The following is a 17,385-nucleotide window of genomic DNA, read 5'->3' on the forward strand; positions in this document are numbered from 1 at the left end:
TTACAATACTTGTTTTCTAAAAAAATAAGGGCAAACTCTCTTGAGAAATACTTCCCTTTGTTATCTGGATGGATACTGCTTTGCGTATCATACTTCTTTTTTTAGGGAAAGTTACTCAGATGATTTAGTTTCAACTCCCCCAACTTCCCCTAGTCTTTCAGCCCCACATATCTCTGGATTCTGGAAAGGCATTCACTCATTTATTCATTCAACAAACTTGTACTTATTGAGTCAACTGCTACTTTGCACTAAAACTGTGCAAGTCACAGAGGAAATGAATATAAAAAACCAAAATTTGTGATACTCATTAGAGCTATTCACAATGTTCTCATTTTCTGTTTATAAGTGGATGGTATTAATAAATTGGATTTGTCCACCTCCTTACCATTAGATATGAATTTGTTACTTGCTTGTTAAAATTTAATTGCTCGTGCCTGACTCTTCAGGCCTTTCACGTCCCTGCCATGGAAGCATATGTCAAGAGGGAGCCTGAGTCTCTGAGCAACCGCAATAAACACAGCTATTCTCCTGGCCAATGTTGGAAAAGTAGGATGAGAGTATTAAACTACTGAGATTTTAGGGGTTTTATTGGATCTTAACTTAGCTTATCTTGACGGAAAATCCTTGCTTTCAAGATCCCCTTAATTCAGTGAAGTAGAGATAATAATGAAGTATTTCAATTACACTCTAATCATATCTATTATAAAAATATGCTTTATGTGATGGAAGGACTAAGGAAAGAATTTTGAGGAGTTGGTGAGATCAGGCTTAGGAGTCAGAGAGCCTTGAGTTGAAATCTTGACTTTTGTATTTTTAGCTGTATGTAAGTCATTAAACTTTCTAAGCCTGTGATATAGTTTGGATATTCATCCCCTCCAACTCTTATGTTAAAATTTGATCCCCAGTGTGGGAGGTGTTTGGGTCATGTGGGTGGATACCTCATCACAGGTTGTTGCAGTCCTTGTAGAAATGAGTGAGCCCTTGCTCTATCAGTTACCATGAAATCTGATTGTTAAAGAGGCCTGACACCTCTGTCTCTCTCTCTTGCTCCATCTCTCATCATGTGACATCCTGCTCTCCATCTTTCATGATGACTGGAAGTTTCCTGAGGCCCTCATCAGAAGCAGTTGCTGATGCTACCCTTCTTGCATATCTTGCAGAACTGCGAACTAAATAAACTTCTTTTCTTTATAAATACCCAGCCTTAGGTATTCTTTTATGGCAACACAAAATAGACTAATACAATCCACTTTCAATAGTATAGAATATGGGTAAGAGTGCTATTATCTATCTCATAGGGTGGTTGTAGTAATTAGATGAGCTGCATGATAAGCACTCAATAAGAGGTAGTTGCCATTACTATTACTATTTTTTAAATCTGTATGTGGCATAGAATGGGTAGTACTCATACAACAAAATTTAAGGAATGCTGAACAGAAGCATAAAGGTTGAGAAGCTGTGTAGTTAATAAACTGTAAAACAGGCATTGTAGGCAAAAGGATGGGTGAATATTTTAAGTGAGAGATGTTATGCATAGTACACAGGTGAGTGGTGATGAGTGAAGCTGGAAAAGTAGGCAAGAACTGAAAGAAAATTCACCTGTCCACCATGGCTTGGAAGTAGTAATTACCCTGATGGTAGTAGAGAAGTATTAAATGTTTTAATAGCAAATGAACATTTTAGAAAAATCATGAAAGCTGAAGCATGGAAAAGAGATTAGAAAAGAAACCCCATGAGATTGGAAACAGAAATAGCTCTAAAGATATACTAAAGTCTTCCAAGTAAGAAATGTGTGCATATACTATACTAATCATAATTAGAACTAAGGATGTGTGTAACTTCACAAAGAGAGATCTCTTGATGTCAAGGCTAGGAATGGAAGCCTAGGTATTGATAACATTCAAAGGGCTACTACATAAAGCAAAGTGTTCTTGGGGAGAATAAAAAGGGCAGAGAGGAAAAGAAAGATAGGAACCAAGAACCTTGGCTATCATGGATGCCAAGGTAGGGGAGAATGTGAGCAGGGCATGATCAACCCTGTGAAACATGCCAGCAATGCAAAGTAAGATACTATCTTAAGAGTCGTTATGTCATTGGAGAATCAGGAAGCTATCGTTGATCTGCATGGAAGAACTTAAGACTGGTGGAAGTTAAAGGCAGATTTCAAGAAATAAATGAGAAAGGGTGATGGTGGTGCAGAAGTAGAGTAGATTGAGTTTAGACTATAATTTCAAAAAGTTTGGATAAATAATAGAGGATAATTGGGTACACAGAATGAAGAAAGTTTTTTTGTTTTGAAATGGGAGAGACTTATGTATGTTCTGGGTGTTTCTCTTACACCCAGGCAAATGGAGCTCCTGCCCAGAGTCTGCACTATAAAATAATCTCCTCTGGTCTTTTGGCCACATATGTATCCAAAGCAAAAAAAATCTGCATTCCAAAGGGACATGTCCTACTGAAAGACTTGAGAATTCTGGGTCTAAATGTCTTTGGTCACACCTCTAGAACCTGTACAGACTTCTGTACATTTTCCCATTAATATTGCTTTCTGATATGTAGTTTCAAAATTGTTTTTATTCAGTTAAAATACTTTCTAATTTCTCTTTCCATTTAACCCATTAATTATTAAGAAGTATGTTATTATTATTTGAATATTTGAGGAATTTCCAGGGATCTTTCTCAATGATTTTTAATTTAGTTCCACTGTTGTTAGAGAACATACTTTTTATGACTAGAATGCCTTTGAATTAATGACGACTTGTTTTAGGCCCTAGACTAATGGTCTTGTGTGGGCAAATGGTCTGTTTGCTCTTGAAAAATATGTGATTTCTGATGTTGGAGGAGTGTTTCAGAAATAATCTTTTTATATTTGTATATTATGTTGCTTGAAATTGTCCCATAGTTAACCGATGCTCTTTAATTTTTTTAATTTTTAATTTTTATGGATATATTGTAGTTGTACATACGTATGGGGTACGTGTGATATTTTGATGCAAGTGTACAATGTATAATGATCAAATAAAGGTTATTGGGAAATCTAACACCTTAAACATTTGTCATTTCTTTATGTTAGGAATGTTCCAATCCACTCTTTTAGTTACTTTGAAATATACAATAAGTTATTGTTTACCATAGTCTCCTTATCATGCTACTGAACACTAGAACTTATTTCGTCTATCTAACTGTATTTTTGTACCCATTAATTAATACTTTTTTAACCCCTGCCTGTCCACCACCGTTTCCTGCCTTTGGTAACCACCATCATTTATTCTCTATTTTCATGGATTCAATTTTTTTTTTAGCTCCCACATATGAGTGAGAACATGTGATATTTGTTTTTCTCTACCTGGCTTATTTCACTTAGCATAATGACCTCTAGTTCCATCCATGTTGCTGCAAATGACAGTATTTCATTCTTTTTATGGCTGAATAATATTCCATGGTGTATTTGTACCACATTTTCTTTATCTATTCTTCTGTTAATGAACAATTAGGTTGATTCCATATCTTGACTATTGTAAATAAAGCTGTAATAAAAATGCAAGGGTACATATCTCAATATACTGGCTTCCTTTATTTTGGATATATACCTAGCAGTGAGATTTCTGGATCATATGAGAGTTCTATTTTTACTTTTTTGAGGAGCCTCCATACTGTTTTCTCTAGTGGCTATACTAACTTACATTCACATCAACAGTGTAGGAGTGTTCCCCTTTTTTTTCCACATCCTCGCCAACATTCGTTAATTTTTGTCTTTTTGATAAAGGCCATTTTAACTGGGCTGACATAATATTTCATTGTGTTTTGATGTGAATTTCTCTGATGACTAATGGTATTGAGCATTTTTCTTATATCTGTTGGCCTTTTTTATGTCCTCTTTTGAGAAATGTCTATTCAGGTATTTTATTCATTTTTCAATTAGATGATGATGGTGATGCTGATAATTACTTTTCTAGTGTGTTGTTTGAGTTTATTTATATTTTGGTTATTAATCCTTTGTCAGTTGAATAGTTTGCAAATATTTTCTCCTGTTTTGTGGGTTGTCTCTTTATTTTGTTAATTGTTTCCTTTGTTGTGCAAAATCTTTTTAGCTTTTTGTGATCTCATTATCTATTTTTTCTTTATTTGCCTGTGTTTTTGAGGTTTTAAGAGAAATCTTTGCTCAGCTGAATGTGCTGGAATGTTTCTCCAATGTTTTCTTCTAGGATTTCACAGTTTTTGATTTTAAATTTAAGTATTTAATCCATTTCATTTTTTTTATATGACGTGAGATAGGGGTTTAGTTTCATTCTCTTGCATATGGATATCCAATTTTCTTAGCAGTGTATGTTCTTGGCACTTTTGCTAAAAATAAGTTGACTTTAAATGTATTATTTTATTCATGGGTTCTGTTCCATTAGTGTTGCTGGGTTCTATTTTGTGTCTGCTTTTGTGCCAGTATAATGCTGTTTTGCTTACTATAGCTTTGTAGTATTATTTGAAGTCAGATAGTTTGATCTCCAACTTTGTTCCTTTTGCTCAAGATTGCTTTGACTATTTTGGGTCTTTTGAGGTTCCACATAAATTTTAGGATTATTATTTTTTGATTTATGTGAAGAACATCATTGTTATTTTGATAAGGATTGCATTGAATCTGTAGATTTCTTTGGGTAGTATGGACAATTTAACAATATTGATTCTTCCAATTAATGAACATAAAATATCTTTTATGTTTTGTGTCCTATTCAATTTCTTTCATCAATGGTTTTTTTTTGAGATGGGGTCTGGCTCTGTCACCCAGGCTGGAGTGCAGTGGCATGATCTTGGCTCACTGCAACTTCTACCTCCAAGGATTAAGCGATCCTCCCACCTCAGCCACCCAAGTAGCTAATTTTTTTTTGTATTTTTGGTAGAGATGGGGTTTCACCATGTTGCCCAGGCTAGATTCAAATTCCTAAGCTCAAGTGTTCTGCCCACCTCTGCCTCTCAAAATGCTTGAGCCACTGCTCCCAGTCCATCAGTGTTTTATAATTTTCATTGTAGAGATTTTTCACTTCTTTGGTTAAGTTTATTCCAGGTATTTTACTTTAATTATAGCTATTGTAAATGGGATTACTTTCTTGGTTTCCTTTCCAGATTGTTTACTATTGGCATATAGAAATGCTACTGATTTTTGTATGTTGACTTTGTATCTTTGAACTTTACTGAATTCATTTAAAAGTTCTAATAGTTTTTTGCTGGAGTCCTTAGGATTTTCAAAATATAAAATCATATCATCTGCAAAGATAATTTGACTTTTTCTTTTCCAATTTGGGTGCCCTTTATTTCTTTCTCTTATCTAATTACTTCGGCTAAGACTTCCAATACTATAGTGAATGAAAGTAATGAAAATAGGCATCCTTGCCTTGTTCCGGATCTTAAACTAAAGGCTTTCTGTTGTTGGACATTCAGTGTGATAGATGGATTTGTCATACACGGCCCCCATTGTTTTGAGGTGTGTTCCTTTTATACTCTGTTTGTTGTGAGCTGTTTTTTTTTTAATCATGAAAGGGTATTGAATTATATTGAATGCTTTTTCTAACATTTGTTGAAATTGTCAGATGGTTTTTGTCTTTTATTCTATTGATGTGATGCATTGTGTTTATTGATTTGTGCATGTTGAACCATCCTTGCATCTCTGTGATGAATCCCACTTGATGATAATGAATCTTTTTACTGTGTTGTTGAATTTGACTTGCTAGGATTTTGTTGAAAATTTTGCATGTGCGTTCATCAGAAATACTGGCCAGCAGTTTTTGTTGTTGTTGTGTCTGTCTGATTTTGGTGTCAGGGTAATTCTAGCTTTGTAGAATGAGTTTGAAAGTATTTCCTCCTCCTGGATTTTTTGGAATAGCTTGAATAGGATTAGTATTTGTTCCACTTTAAACGTTGGTAGAATTCAGCAGTGAGGCTATCGGCTCCTGGATTTTTTTTTTTTTTCTGGGAGACTTTTTTGTCTTAAAATCAATTTTTATCTTATGTAAGTACACTTACGCGTGCTCTTTTTTTTTGTAAGTATAGTTACTTATGCTTCCTTCTTTTCTATCTCATTACTTGTTATTAGTCTTTTCAGATTCGTATTTTTCATATCTAGAAGTTCATTCATTTCTTCCAGGTTTCCTAGTTTATTGGCATATAGTTGCTCATAATAGTCTCTATTGCTCCTTTTAATTTCTGTGGCATCAGTTGTAATGTCTCTTTTTTCACCTCTAGTTTTCTTTATTTGGTTCTTTTTTCTTCTTAGTCTGGCTAAAGGTTGTTGATTTTGTTTATCTTTTCAAAAAACAAAATTCATTGGTTTATCTTTTGTATTTTTTTGGTTTTGATTTATTTCTGCTCTGATCTTTTATTATTTTTTTCTTCTACTAATTTTGGGTTTGGTAGGCTTTTGCATTTCTAGTTCTTAAAGATACATCATTTGGTTGTTTTTTTTGAAGTCTTTCTATTTTTTAATGTAGGCATTTATTGCTATAAACTTTCCTGTCAGTACTGCTTTGGCTGTACTCACTAGCTTGGTATGTTGTATTTCCATTTTCATTTGTTTCAGTAAATGTTAAGTTTTCTTCTTAATTTATTTAAAGACCCAATGGTCATTCAGAAGCATATTGTTTAATTTCCAAGTGTTTGTATGGTTTCCAAAGTTCTTCTTGTTATTAATTTCTAGTTTTGTTCCATTGTGATCAGAAAAGATACTTGGCATGATTTCAATTTTTATAATTTTTTAAAGATGTTTTTTGTGGCCTATCTTAAGGTATGTCCTTGAGAATGTTCCTTGTGCTGAGAAGAATAATGTGTATTTTGTGGCTGTTGGATGAAATATTCTGTGAATACTTATTAGATCCAACTGGTCTATAGTGCAGGTTAAGTCTGTTTCTTTGTTGATTTTCTGTCTAGATGATCTGTCCATTGCTGAAAGTTGGGTGTTGAAGTCCCCAACTATTATTGTTTAGGGGTGAATCTCTCTATCTCCAATAAAATTTGCTTTATACATCTGTGTGCTTCAGTGTTGGGTGTATATATATTTATAATTGCTATGTCCTTTTGGATTGACCCCTTTGCAATGACACAATGACTTTCTTCGTCTTTTTAAAGAGTTTTTGTCTTTTTTTTTTTTTTGAGATGGAGTCTCTCTCTGTTGCCCAGGCTGGAGTGCAGTGGCGTGATCTTGGCTCACCACAACTCCGCCTCCAGGTTCACGCCATTCTCCTGCCTCAGCCTCCCGAGTAGCTGGGACTACAGGCGCCCACCACAACGCCCGGCTATTTTTTTGTATTTTTAGTAGAGACGGGGTTTCACCGTGTTAGCCAGGATGGTCTCGATCTCCTGACCTTGTGATCCACCCGCCTCGGCCTCCCAAAGTGCTGGGATTATAGGCGTGAGCCACTGCGCCCGGCCAAGAGTTTTTGTCTTGAAATCCATTTTATCTCATGTAAGTATAGTTACTTATGCTCTTTTTTTTGGTTTTCATTTGCATAGAACATCTTTTTCCATCTTTTAATTTTCAGTTTATGCATGTATTTACAGGTCAAGTGAGTTACTTGTAGGCAGCATGTAGTCGGATCTTGTTTTCTTATTCATTCAGGTACTCTGAATGAATAAGAAAACTTTCAATGGAATAATTTAGTTCAATTTATATTCAATGTTATTAATAATAGGCAAGAACTTACTACTTCCATTTTGCTATTTGCTTTCTGGTTGTTTTGTTTGTCTACCTTCTTCCTTTCTTCATGTCTTTTGTTGTGTATAAGTGGATTTCTCTGGCAGTATGTTTTAATTTTTTGGTTTTTTTTATTTTTAACGTTTTCATTGTAGGTTTGGCTTTGTGGTTACCATGAGAATTACAAATAACACTTATAACCAATTATTTTAAACTGATGACAACTTAGATCTTATCACAATAAACAAACAAACAACAACAAAAAAACAAGCAAAGAGAAAACTAAGACTCTCTACAGTTTAAATCCATTCCCCACTCCACTTTTTGATATTTTGTTGTCCTTATTTATCTTTTTATGTTTTCTATCTCTTAAAATATAATTGTCGTAGTTATTATTTTTGGTAGATTTGTCTTTTAGTTTTCATACTAAATTTATGAGTTGTTTAGACATGGAAATTACAGTGATAGAGTATTCTGTATTTGTCTGTGTATTTACTTTTACCAGTGAGTGTGTTATACCTTCAGATAATTTCTTTTTACTTGTTAGTGCTCTCTTCTTTCAGACTGAAGAACACCTTTTAGCATTTCTTGTAAGATAGGGCTGGTTTTGGTGAAACTCCTCAGCTTTTGTTTGTCTGGGAAAGTCTTTATTTTTCCTTCCTTTTTGAAAAATAACTTTGCCAGATATAATATTCTGGGTTGGAAGATTTTTTTCCTCTTCAGCACTTTGAATATGTCATTCCACTTACTTCTGGCCTGTAGGTTTTCCACTGAGAAGCCTGCTGCTAAACATAGGATTGAAACCATTTTATGTGTCATTTTCTTCCTTTGTCTTGCTGCTTTTAAAATATTTTCTTTATCTTTACCCTTTAAGAGTTTGATTATTACATGCCTTGAGGTAGTCTTATTTGAGTCAAATCTGCTTGGTGTTCTTTGACATTCTTTATGCCTAGATATTTATATTTTTCTCTAGGTTTGGAAAGTTCTTTGTCAATATTTCTTTAAATAAATTTTCTACTCTGATCTTTTACTTTACCTCCTCTGTTAGGCCAATAATTTTTACTTTGCCCTTCTTCTAAACCTTGTAAGTATATTTCATTTTTCTTTTTTTCTCCTCTGTGTATTTTCTTATAGCCTGTCTTCAAAGCTCACTAATTCTTTCTTCTGCTTGGTGAGTTCTGTTGTTCAGAGACTCTGATGCATTTCTCAGTTAGTCAATTAAAGTTTTCAGCTCAAGAAGTTTTAAAAATTATTTCAATCTCTGTTTTAACTTTTTCTGATAGAGCTCTGAATTCCTTTTCTATGTTATTTTGAAGTCTGTCGAGCTTCTTCAAGACAGTTGACAGCTATTTTAAATTTCTTATCTGAGAAGTCATATATCTCTGTCACTGAAGGCTTGATCACAGGTGACAAATGTAGTCTGTTTGGAGAGGTCATGTTTTTTCTGGCTGTTCTTGGTGCTGGACATTCATTGATATCTGGTCATTGAAGAGTTAGGTATTTATTCCGATCTTCACAGTCTGGGCTTGTTTATACCTGTCCTTCTTAAGAGAGCTTTCAGAGAATTTAATAAAGATTGGGGGTTATTACCTAAACCCTTGCTCACTGCAGCTTTTTCATCACTAGGGAGTGATCTAAACCCAGCAATGCTGTGATTCTTGCAGACTTCTAGATAGAAAGCCTTGGTGGGTTTGGGGAAGATAAGGGAGAATTCCTTGGATTTCCAGGTGAAGTCTTGCTCTTTCTTCCCTCACTCTTCCCCAAAGAAAAGGAGACTTTCCCTGCACTGAGCAGCCTGGAGTTGAGGGAGGGGTGGCATAGATACTCCTGTAGCCACCACAGCTGACTCCACACTGATACATAATGCCCATGACCTCTTAGACCAGCACAGTACTGGGGCTTGCCCAAGGCCCATGGCTGCTACTGCCTGGCTGCTCCTGATGTTTATTCAAAGCCAAAGGTCACGTTAGTCAGCAGGTAGTAAATCCTACTGGGGCTGGCTCCACCACGCTAAGGTGGCAGATTCCCTTTCAGTTTAGGTGGATCTAGAAATGATGTTCAGGAGCAAAGGCCTGGAATAAGGAGCTTCAGGAATCTACCTAGTGCTTTATTTTAACGTGGCTGAGCTGGCATCAAAGTTGCAAGACAAAGTCCTTTGTAGTCTTCCCTCTCTTTTCCCTAAGACTCCTCTCTGCGCTGCACTACCTGGAGTTGGGGGAGAAGTGATACCCACACTCCTGCGGCCACTGCAGCTAACGTTTTTCCCTCTGGCCCAAGGCTGGTCTAAATGCTCCCTCTGTGGGCATCAGTGGAATTCTGTCCAGAGTCATGCTCCATTTTGACAGGGTGGCAATGAGTTCCAAAGCAAAGTCCCACAACACTTTTACTCTCCCTCCCTCAAGCACAAAAATTTTCTCTTTGAGCTACACTGCCTGCAGAGTGGGGATGGGCAGTATAAGCAATACAAGACTTTCCTCCCTACCCTCTTCAAGGCTTCTTTTCTTGTTATATGTTAAATTAGAACATTTAGATGCTCTTTAATTTTTCATATTTTTTCTCTGTGTATTTCATTTTTAATATTTCCTATACTTATATTCTCAAATGTACTAATCTTTTCTTCTGCAATGTCTAATCTACCATTAATCCTATTCAGTGTATTTCCCTTCAGTCGTAAAGTTCTCATCTCTGGAAGTTAGATTTGGGCCTTTAAAAAGTATCTTTCATGTCTCTACTTAATTTTAATTGAATACAGTTAGTATAACCATTTTATTACTTTCTGCTACTTCTAATAATTAATTGTGTTATTTTGGGGATCAGTTTCATTTTACTGATTTTTCTCTTCTTGCTTGGTATCTTTGCTTTCATGCTTGGTAATCGTTGATTTGCATGTTTCATAAACTTTGATGGGATGTCATGCATCATTAGTTTTACCTTTCTGAGTGCTAGATATGTTTTGTATTTCTATAAGTATTCTTGAATGTCATTCCAGGATGCAGTTAAGTTACTTGGAAACAGTTATATCCTTTCTGGTTTTCCTTTTATGACTTGTTCACTGGGTTTCAGTTTAGTGCTATAAGTTAATTTTTCCTCACCACTGATGCAAGACCTTTCTGAGTATTCCACCAAATCACCTGTATATAATAAATGTTCTGAGTCTGGCTGGTAGGAAAAGGCATGCTTCCTAACCCTGTGTTAGTGCTAGGGCATTGTTCCTGAGGTTTTCTTCCCCTGGCTTTGGATAGTTACCTCACATTGATCATCTCTCTGCATGATACTTGGGGAGATCCTTTGTGGATTTTCCAGGTCCTGCTTCTGTGCAATACTCTCTTCTTTGATAGTCTGTCTTTGGCAGTCTAGTAGCCTGTCTTCCCTGCACTCTCAGCTCTGTCTCTTCAACTCAGGGATTTCACTGGGATCCTCCTGAATTCTCCCTCATCATGCCATGGTCCAAGAATTCTCTCAGGGTAGTAAATAAAATCAAGTGTAAATTTCACTTCATATGTCTCCCATCTCTCGGGGATCCCTGTAATTTGTTGACTTGTGTCCAGTGTTCTGAAAAACATCATTTTATATGTTTTGTCTGTTTTTTTTTGGAGGGCGTATTGCTTCAGGTGGGATGGTAAATCTAGTTATTGTTACTTCATCTTGGGTGAAATCAGGAGATTATAAAATATAACTTTTAAATATTTAAAAATATTGCATGGGGGCTTCCATTTGTACTATTGCCGTGGATTCAACAAATGTTAGGGCAGACATAAAATAATGTGAGACAGGAGTATAAAAATATAAGGGAAAAAGAGAGATAATGTAAGTAATAATAAAGAATTATTATTATCTTTTAAAATTTTTATAGAAAGGAGATAATATAGGATGTTGGAAGAGTGGGTTAAAAACTGGTAATACATGTTGTCGATATTTAGAGATATTGTTGATTGATGACTTGTAAAAGGCTTACTGAACCATACCATAGAACAGTTGCTATTTTAAGGCCTGAAATTAATGATTGTATTAATTCCCTGAGTTATATAATTTTTCCACCAGTTTCCAGCAGACTTGTTGTGGAGCAGAGAAGTTAGTTGGCTAAATTTATCTATGTGGAAAATACAATGAAGCACAGATTTTAGACTGGATATGGAAGAAATTATAAGAAAATTAACAAATTTAGGAATAAATGAGTGAAAAATAGCTAACATTTATTTAGCACCTACAATGTGCCACACCTACACTCTGCTAACTGTTCCAGATTATCTCATTTTATTTTCGTAACAAATTTAGTATGCAGTTATGAGTATCTGCTAGATTAAATATAATTCCAATTTCTTTAGATAAGGAAATTGAGGCCTTGCCCAAGTTTACACAGCTAGGAAGTGTCTGATCCAGGATGTGGATCCAAGCAGCCTGATTTAAGAGCCCACACACTTAATCACTGACTATATTGCCAACGAGTTTAAAATAGAAATAGATCAAAATATACAAGACAGCTGGAAGGATTAGAGGATATGGTCAGAAAGCAGAACATTACTGTTAACAATACCAGGGAAAGAACAGCTTTGAGTAATTTTAAATCTAAATGAAGTAGAATTGAAGTGAATGTAGTTAGAACTGAGGTAAATTAATAACTTTTAGGCAGGATTTTTGATCATTCATATTTATGGACATTCAGATCACCCATGATATTGGCTGAAATGGAGGTGGAGGGTAAGACTATGGGAATTTTTTGTACTTTGTCATATTGAATGAGTTTCTTTGGGCCTTAAGGAAAATTTAAGAAGTTGAGGGACACCTCATTTTATGGGTAAGGAAACATTCCCAGGTCCTCAGCCTGCCATCAGAAAATCTAATAAATGGATGGATTCGCTTTTCTGGAGCTCATTACTTGTCATCACTCCTAAAGTAATCTGGGTCTTGGTCATGTATCCCTTCCCAAGAAAAGATCCTTATATCATTGTTTAGAACTTAATCTTTATGCAGTGCCCCTTTTGGCTTCTTTGGCTAGTTCCTTCACCAGTGATAGAGAGGAACTCCAATACCTTCTAGGTATAGGGTCACCTGAAGCTTCTTCTTGTAACAGAGGAATGTACGAGAATGAGTCTATATCAAAGGGCCAATGCCTGTGGAATCCCCAAGTTTCTTGGCTGTTGATTTAATATTTATGTGATAATCTCATGGAAGATCAGCCCTGTAATACCATTTTAACTCAGGGAAACATATTATTATTATCATTTTAATGATGTACTCTTTTAAGGGGGTTATTATTTACTTAAATTTTCTGATGAGGATTGAATGAAAAGGTGGTGCCAATTTCAGACTAAGAAAGGAGATCATCATCAATGTATACTGTACCCAACGAGATTATAATGTGAAAATCTGTCCAAACGTTACTGCATTTTGGCAATATTCTCTTTCATCTGATTTTGTTTAGTGTGGTTTTCCTGCTCTGTAGCATTTGCTCCTTGGCAGAGGATTTTAAACTCCAGCACTTTGAGGTCCCACAGACCTACAGACTTGTGCCAGGTCGTGGATTTTCATTTGTGGCCAGTTCCATGATTAAAATGCTTCAGAGCACAGGAGTGACAAGGCAACACTGGCATTCCAGTTTAGGCAGTTTGTACAATGGCTAAGCCACAGTTGTATATGGGTATCTTGTTGTCATCATGTTCTGGAGTGAGTCAACTGAAAACCAGATGAAGCTGGGAAGACTTAAAATCAACCTATAAAGCAAATTATGAGAGAAAAATTTATTTTTCTAAAAGAGATTTGAAATTTTCATGTCAACAAATACTTAAGTTTGATTTGCAAATGATTCTTGAAGTTAAAAACAGAATACTTTATATCCTCAAGCTATAATTCTGTGTCCCCTACCATGTTTATATTTTAGCAGAGAATGGATACATATAGGATAACTTTAATTGGAGTGTTAAAGTTACAACCAATTTCTAGGATTAAGAAAGAGAAACAGGTAGTGGTTATATTGAAGGAGGGGGAAGGCAAGGCAAAGTAAGGGCAAAATATGTAATTGGAGTGAATGCAAAGGACAAGGAAATCTTTCTTAAATAGGGGCATGTATTAGTCTGTTTTCACACTGCTGAAAAAGACGTAACTGAGACTTGGTAATTTATAAAGAAAAAGAGGTTTAATGAACTCACAGTTCCACATGGCTGGGGAGGCCTCACAATCATGGCTGAAGGCGAAAGGCACTTCTTACATGGCAGCAGCAAGACAGAATGAGAGCCAAGTGAAAGGGGAAGCCACTTATAAAATCATCCGATCTCTTGAGACTTATTCACTACCATGAGAAGAGTATAGGGGAAACCGCCACCATGATTCAATTGTCTCCCACAGGGTCCCTCCCACAATACATGGGAATTATGGGAACTACAATTTAAGATGAGATTTGGGTGGGGACACAGCCAAACCATATCAGGGCATAATCAATATTGTAAGTTTAAATTTTATTTTCAGAAACTTAACTTGTGCTTGAACCTGCTCCCTCATTGTTATCAAAAGGACCTTCCCGATATACACAAATAGAAAACGAAATAAAAGTGAAAAGAAGAGTCAAATAGTTTTGGGGGAAGCCAAAGCTTCATTTGTGAAAGTCATTCTCAGAGCAATCCTTAATTATGTATGAGGGCACTGGTTATTTAAGGCTGAGGTACAGAAGGTGTCATAGGGTCAGAGACAAGGAAATTGGGGAAAGAAAGCAGTAAAGATAATGCTTGAGATTATGAGAGTGGCTTAACACATGATGTTTTATTTTTCATGCATTATTGTCCTACAATATTTGTAATTAAGATAAAAAAAGATTTTGGAGATAAGAACAACAACAAAAAATAAGTTATAAGGGGTCTCCACATTGTACATATACACTTCCTTAACACTCAGAAATCTGTGTTTTCAAAACTTGCCTTTAACTTTGTTGAAGACAGTGCTTTGGAAAACAGATCCCTAAGTCTGAACAGGTTAATGCAAGCCGTTCACACCAACAAAACGCACATGGCCCTTTTCAACACTCAGGAATGATCCATCTGATACTGCTGAACAGAACTCCTGTGTTATCTAAATAATTTGTTCTTTGGGCATATGAACCATTGCTAATTTGCAAAGGCTGGTTGAACTAAACCTCATTTGGAACGCACTTATTAAAAATGCAAATCTTTTGAGTAATGGTTAAGGGGATAGTATTTGGTTTATTTTTCAAGAAAAAAGATTTGTTATCAGGAATTTGACCTTTAATCCTAGTTTTAAAGTAGCAGTGAGCGTTCTGTTGTGAAAATGAATATACCAATATTTTGGAGGTATAAATTTCCAAAGAATTATGGGGATCAAAAAGTATGAGCTAAACAATGTGGACTTCAGACAATGTCATTAACATTTTCTCTTATAAGTAAACTAGTTTTATAATGTAAGTTTGAAGGAATTCTATTCTAATAGGGAATGAGTTTCATTGTTAAAACTGTTTGCAGCCAAATTGAGATGTCTTTCAGTTAATAATCATTTATTGAGGGCCTACTAGTTGCCAGGTCCTCTTCTAGGCACTGGGGATACAGTAGTAACAAGACAGAGCATTTGCCTTCAAGCAGGTGACATTTTTGCTGGAAAAGATGGACAAAACAAAGGGAAAATTGAAGTTATATAATATCACATAATGATAAGTTCAAAATAGAAAAGTTGGCTAGAGAGTGATCGAGAGACTATTTTAGTTAGGCTGGTTGGAAAAACACTGTCTGAAGAGGCATTTGAATTGAGGTTTCAATGCCATAGAGACAGACAAATTAAGATTTGGAGAAAGAGACCTTAAGAAGTAGTAGTAATAATTGAAAATATCTTAAATCAGAAACAAGTTTGGCATTTCTGTGGTGGAAAGAATGCCAGTATGATTTCCTCCACAAGAAACAAACAAACAAAAAATTCCTATAGGTTTAAGTAATTAGGATACTTTTTCACTCATATAACTAGAACTGCAAAGGTCAGGTTGTTTTCAGGATTGTTTGATCCCATGATTCGGAATCCAGAGTTTATTTCTTCTTTTATTTTCTTTCCCAATGTGTTTGCATTGACCTTTGATCTGTACCCCTTGAAGGGCAGTTCACTTTGTGATTTTAGGGTGGATGCCAGTAGCTAACAGATCTTCCTCATTCAAGTTTAGAGGGCAAGAAAGTTGATTCCAGAAAGTCTCTTGGAAGAGTGGGGAGGAACTTTCTCACAAGCTCTGTAAACCTCTCCTCACATGTTCCTCAAATCTTCCAAATGATCAATCCTGAAATAATCACTGGTGGGGGAAAGATCTACCCTTAGGTAAATCAGGCCCACATCTAGGTATGACTGAGAAGAGGAACCCTATACTCCCCACAATCCTGAGACACATAACCTTCATGGCAAAAAGAAGGACATGAAATAAAATTTATTTTTGGAGGGCAAGGATTGGGGAAATTACTGGTTAGGCAACCTATTGATTATCAGCTACAGCTACTATGGCTATAGCATAGTGAACAAAAAGGAGAGTGAAAAGAAATGAGACAAGCTGTTTAGGCAGAGGTTAGAGAATGAACGGCCTTGTAGGATATTGACTTTGTATTCTGCTGTAGTTGAAGGAAAAATAAATTTTTGGATTTGCAAGTTTGTGTGTGTGTGTGTGTTGTGTGACAAATTCAGACTATTTTTCTTGCAGAAAACAATTACAGAAACTGGAAAATCATTAAAAACAGTAATTTGAAGGCACTGGAAAATAACCAAAGGAAGACAAAAACTTCAGAAGAGTTTATTACTGAAAGACTGCTACAGCGTCAGGTAGAAAGTGTAACATTGTGGCTTGTTATTGCAAAACCTCAGCCTACATGACTCAGTTTCAGGGCAGAAGAATTGCTGAATACCTAAGGGAAAATTCTAGAAGGAGGAGCACCACCAAAGAGCTGAAATGAGCAAAAATTTTGCAAAATTTCTGGATGAACCCAGGGAGTTTGTTGACAAAGCAGGGAGAGAGTAGAGGTGGGCCTGTTCCTGAAAGACAGAATTGCTTCTGGTGAGATACTGGAGTTTGTCCTGTCTTTGATTGAGTACATTCCCTGGCCACACACAGTTTGGGTGGCAGAAAACAGAAGCCTTATTAGATTGATTTGTTACAAGGTAGAATTCTGGCATAAGAAGAGCAACTGGAAGTTTACTAGGGGGACCTAGAGGCAAGAAACCACCAAAAGGGTGAGCCTTTAAATCTGAGCGTAAACTCAGATTTGGCAGACTCCTAAACAAAACAGACAAGGCGGAGGCCACCAGGGGCCTAGGCTGAAAAAGCAGCAACTGGAATCCAAGAACACTTGGCAGTATATCAGCTTCTTCACACCATGGGGGAGACAAATTTCAGTTTGATTCCAGGCAAGTTAGTGGCTTATGGAACCAAAACCTAGCAATCCTATGAAGAAGAAAGGAGATTTCAGAGCCACTATAACACACCAGCTGTGCCAGCCTAAATAACAGACAGGAGACACTATGAAAGAAAATAATATTTATTTGGAATGGGCATTGCAATGGGATACAGGTGCCATAGTAAACTATATGCATATTCAGGGAGATAAAGAAAAGACTGAGGTTTTAAAAGGAAAAATTAGAAACATTACATGATTATTTTGAGATAATTATCCTTGAATACAAGGATCAATAACAAAAGTGACATCAGTCAAAGGTTGGACTAGCAGTGGCTAGACAGATATATT

The 17,385-nt window shown here is 35.9% G+C and overlaps 1 protein-coding gene across 6 annotated transcripts in view; it reads left to right on the forward strand.

Annotated features, from left to right (window-relative positions):
- The window catches only part of CSNK2A2IP (casein kinase 2 subunit alpha' interacting protein), a 129,139-nt gene that overhangs the window by 14,564 nt on the left and 97,190 nt on the right, over positions 1–17,385 (forward strand). For 2 of the 6 annotated variants that reach the window (XM_047447366.1, XM_047447367.1), the window contains one exon: positions 16,347–16,465. The exons of the other annotated variants lie outside the window; for them this stretch is intronic. In XM_047447366.1, the coding sequence (XP_047303322.1) occupies positions 16,347–16,465 (119 nt within the window). The remainder of the gene's footprint in view (positions 1–16,346; positions 16,466–17,385) is intronic. 6 annotated transcript variants of the gene reach the window in all.

Source organism: Homo sapiens, chromosome 3 (genome assembly GCF_000001405.40).
Source record: "Homo sapiens chromosome 3, GRCh38.p14 Primary Assembly".
In the NCBI taxonomy this organism is placed as follows: Eukaryota; Metazoa; Chordata; class Mammalia; order Primates; family Hominidae; genus Homo; species Homo sapiens.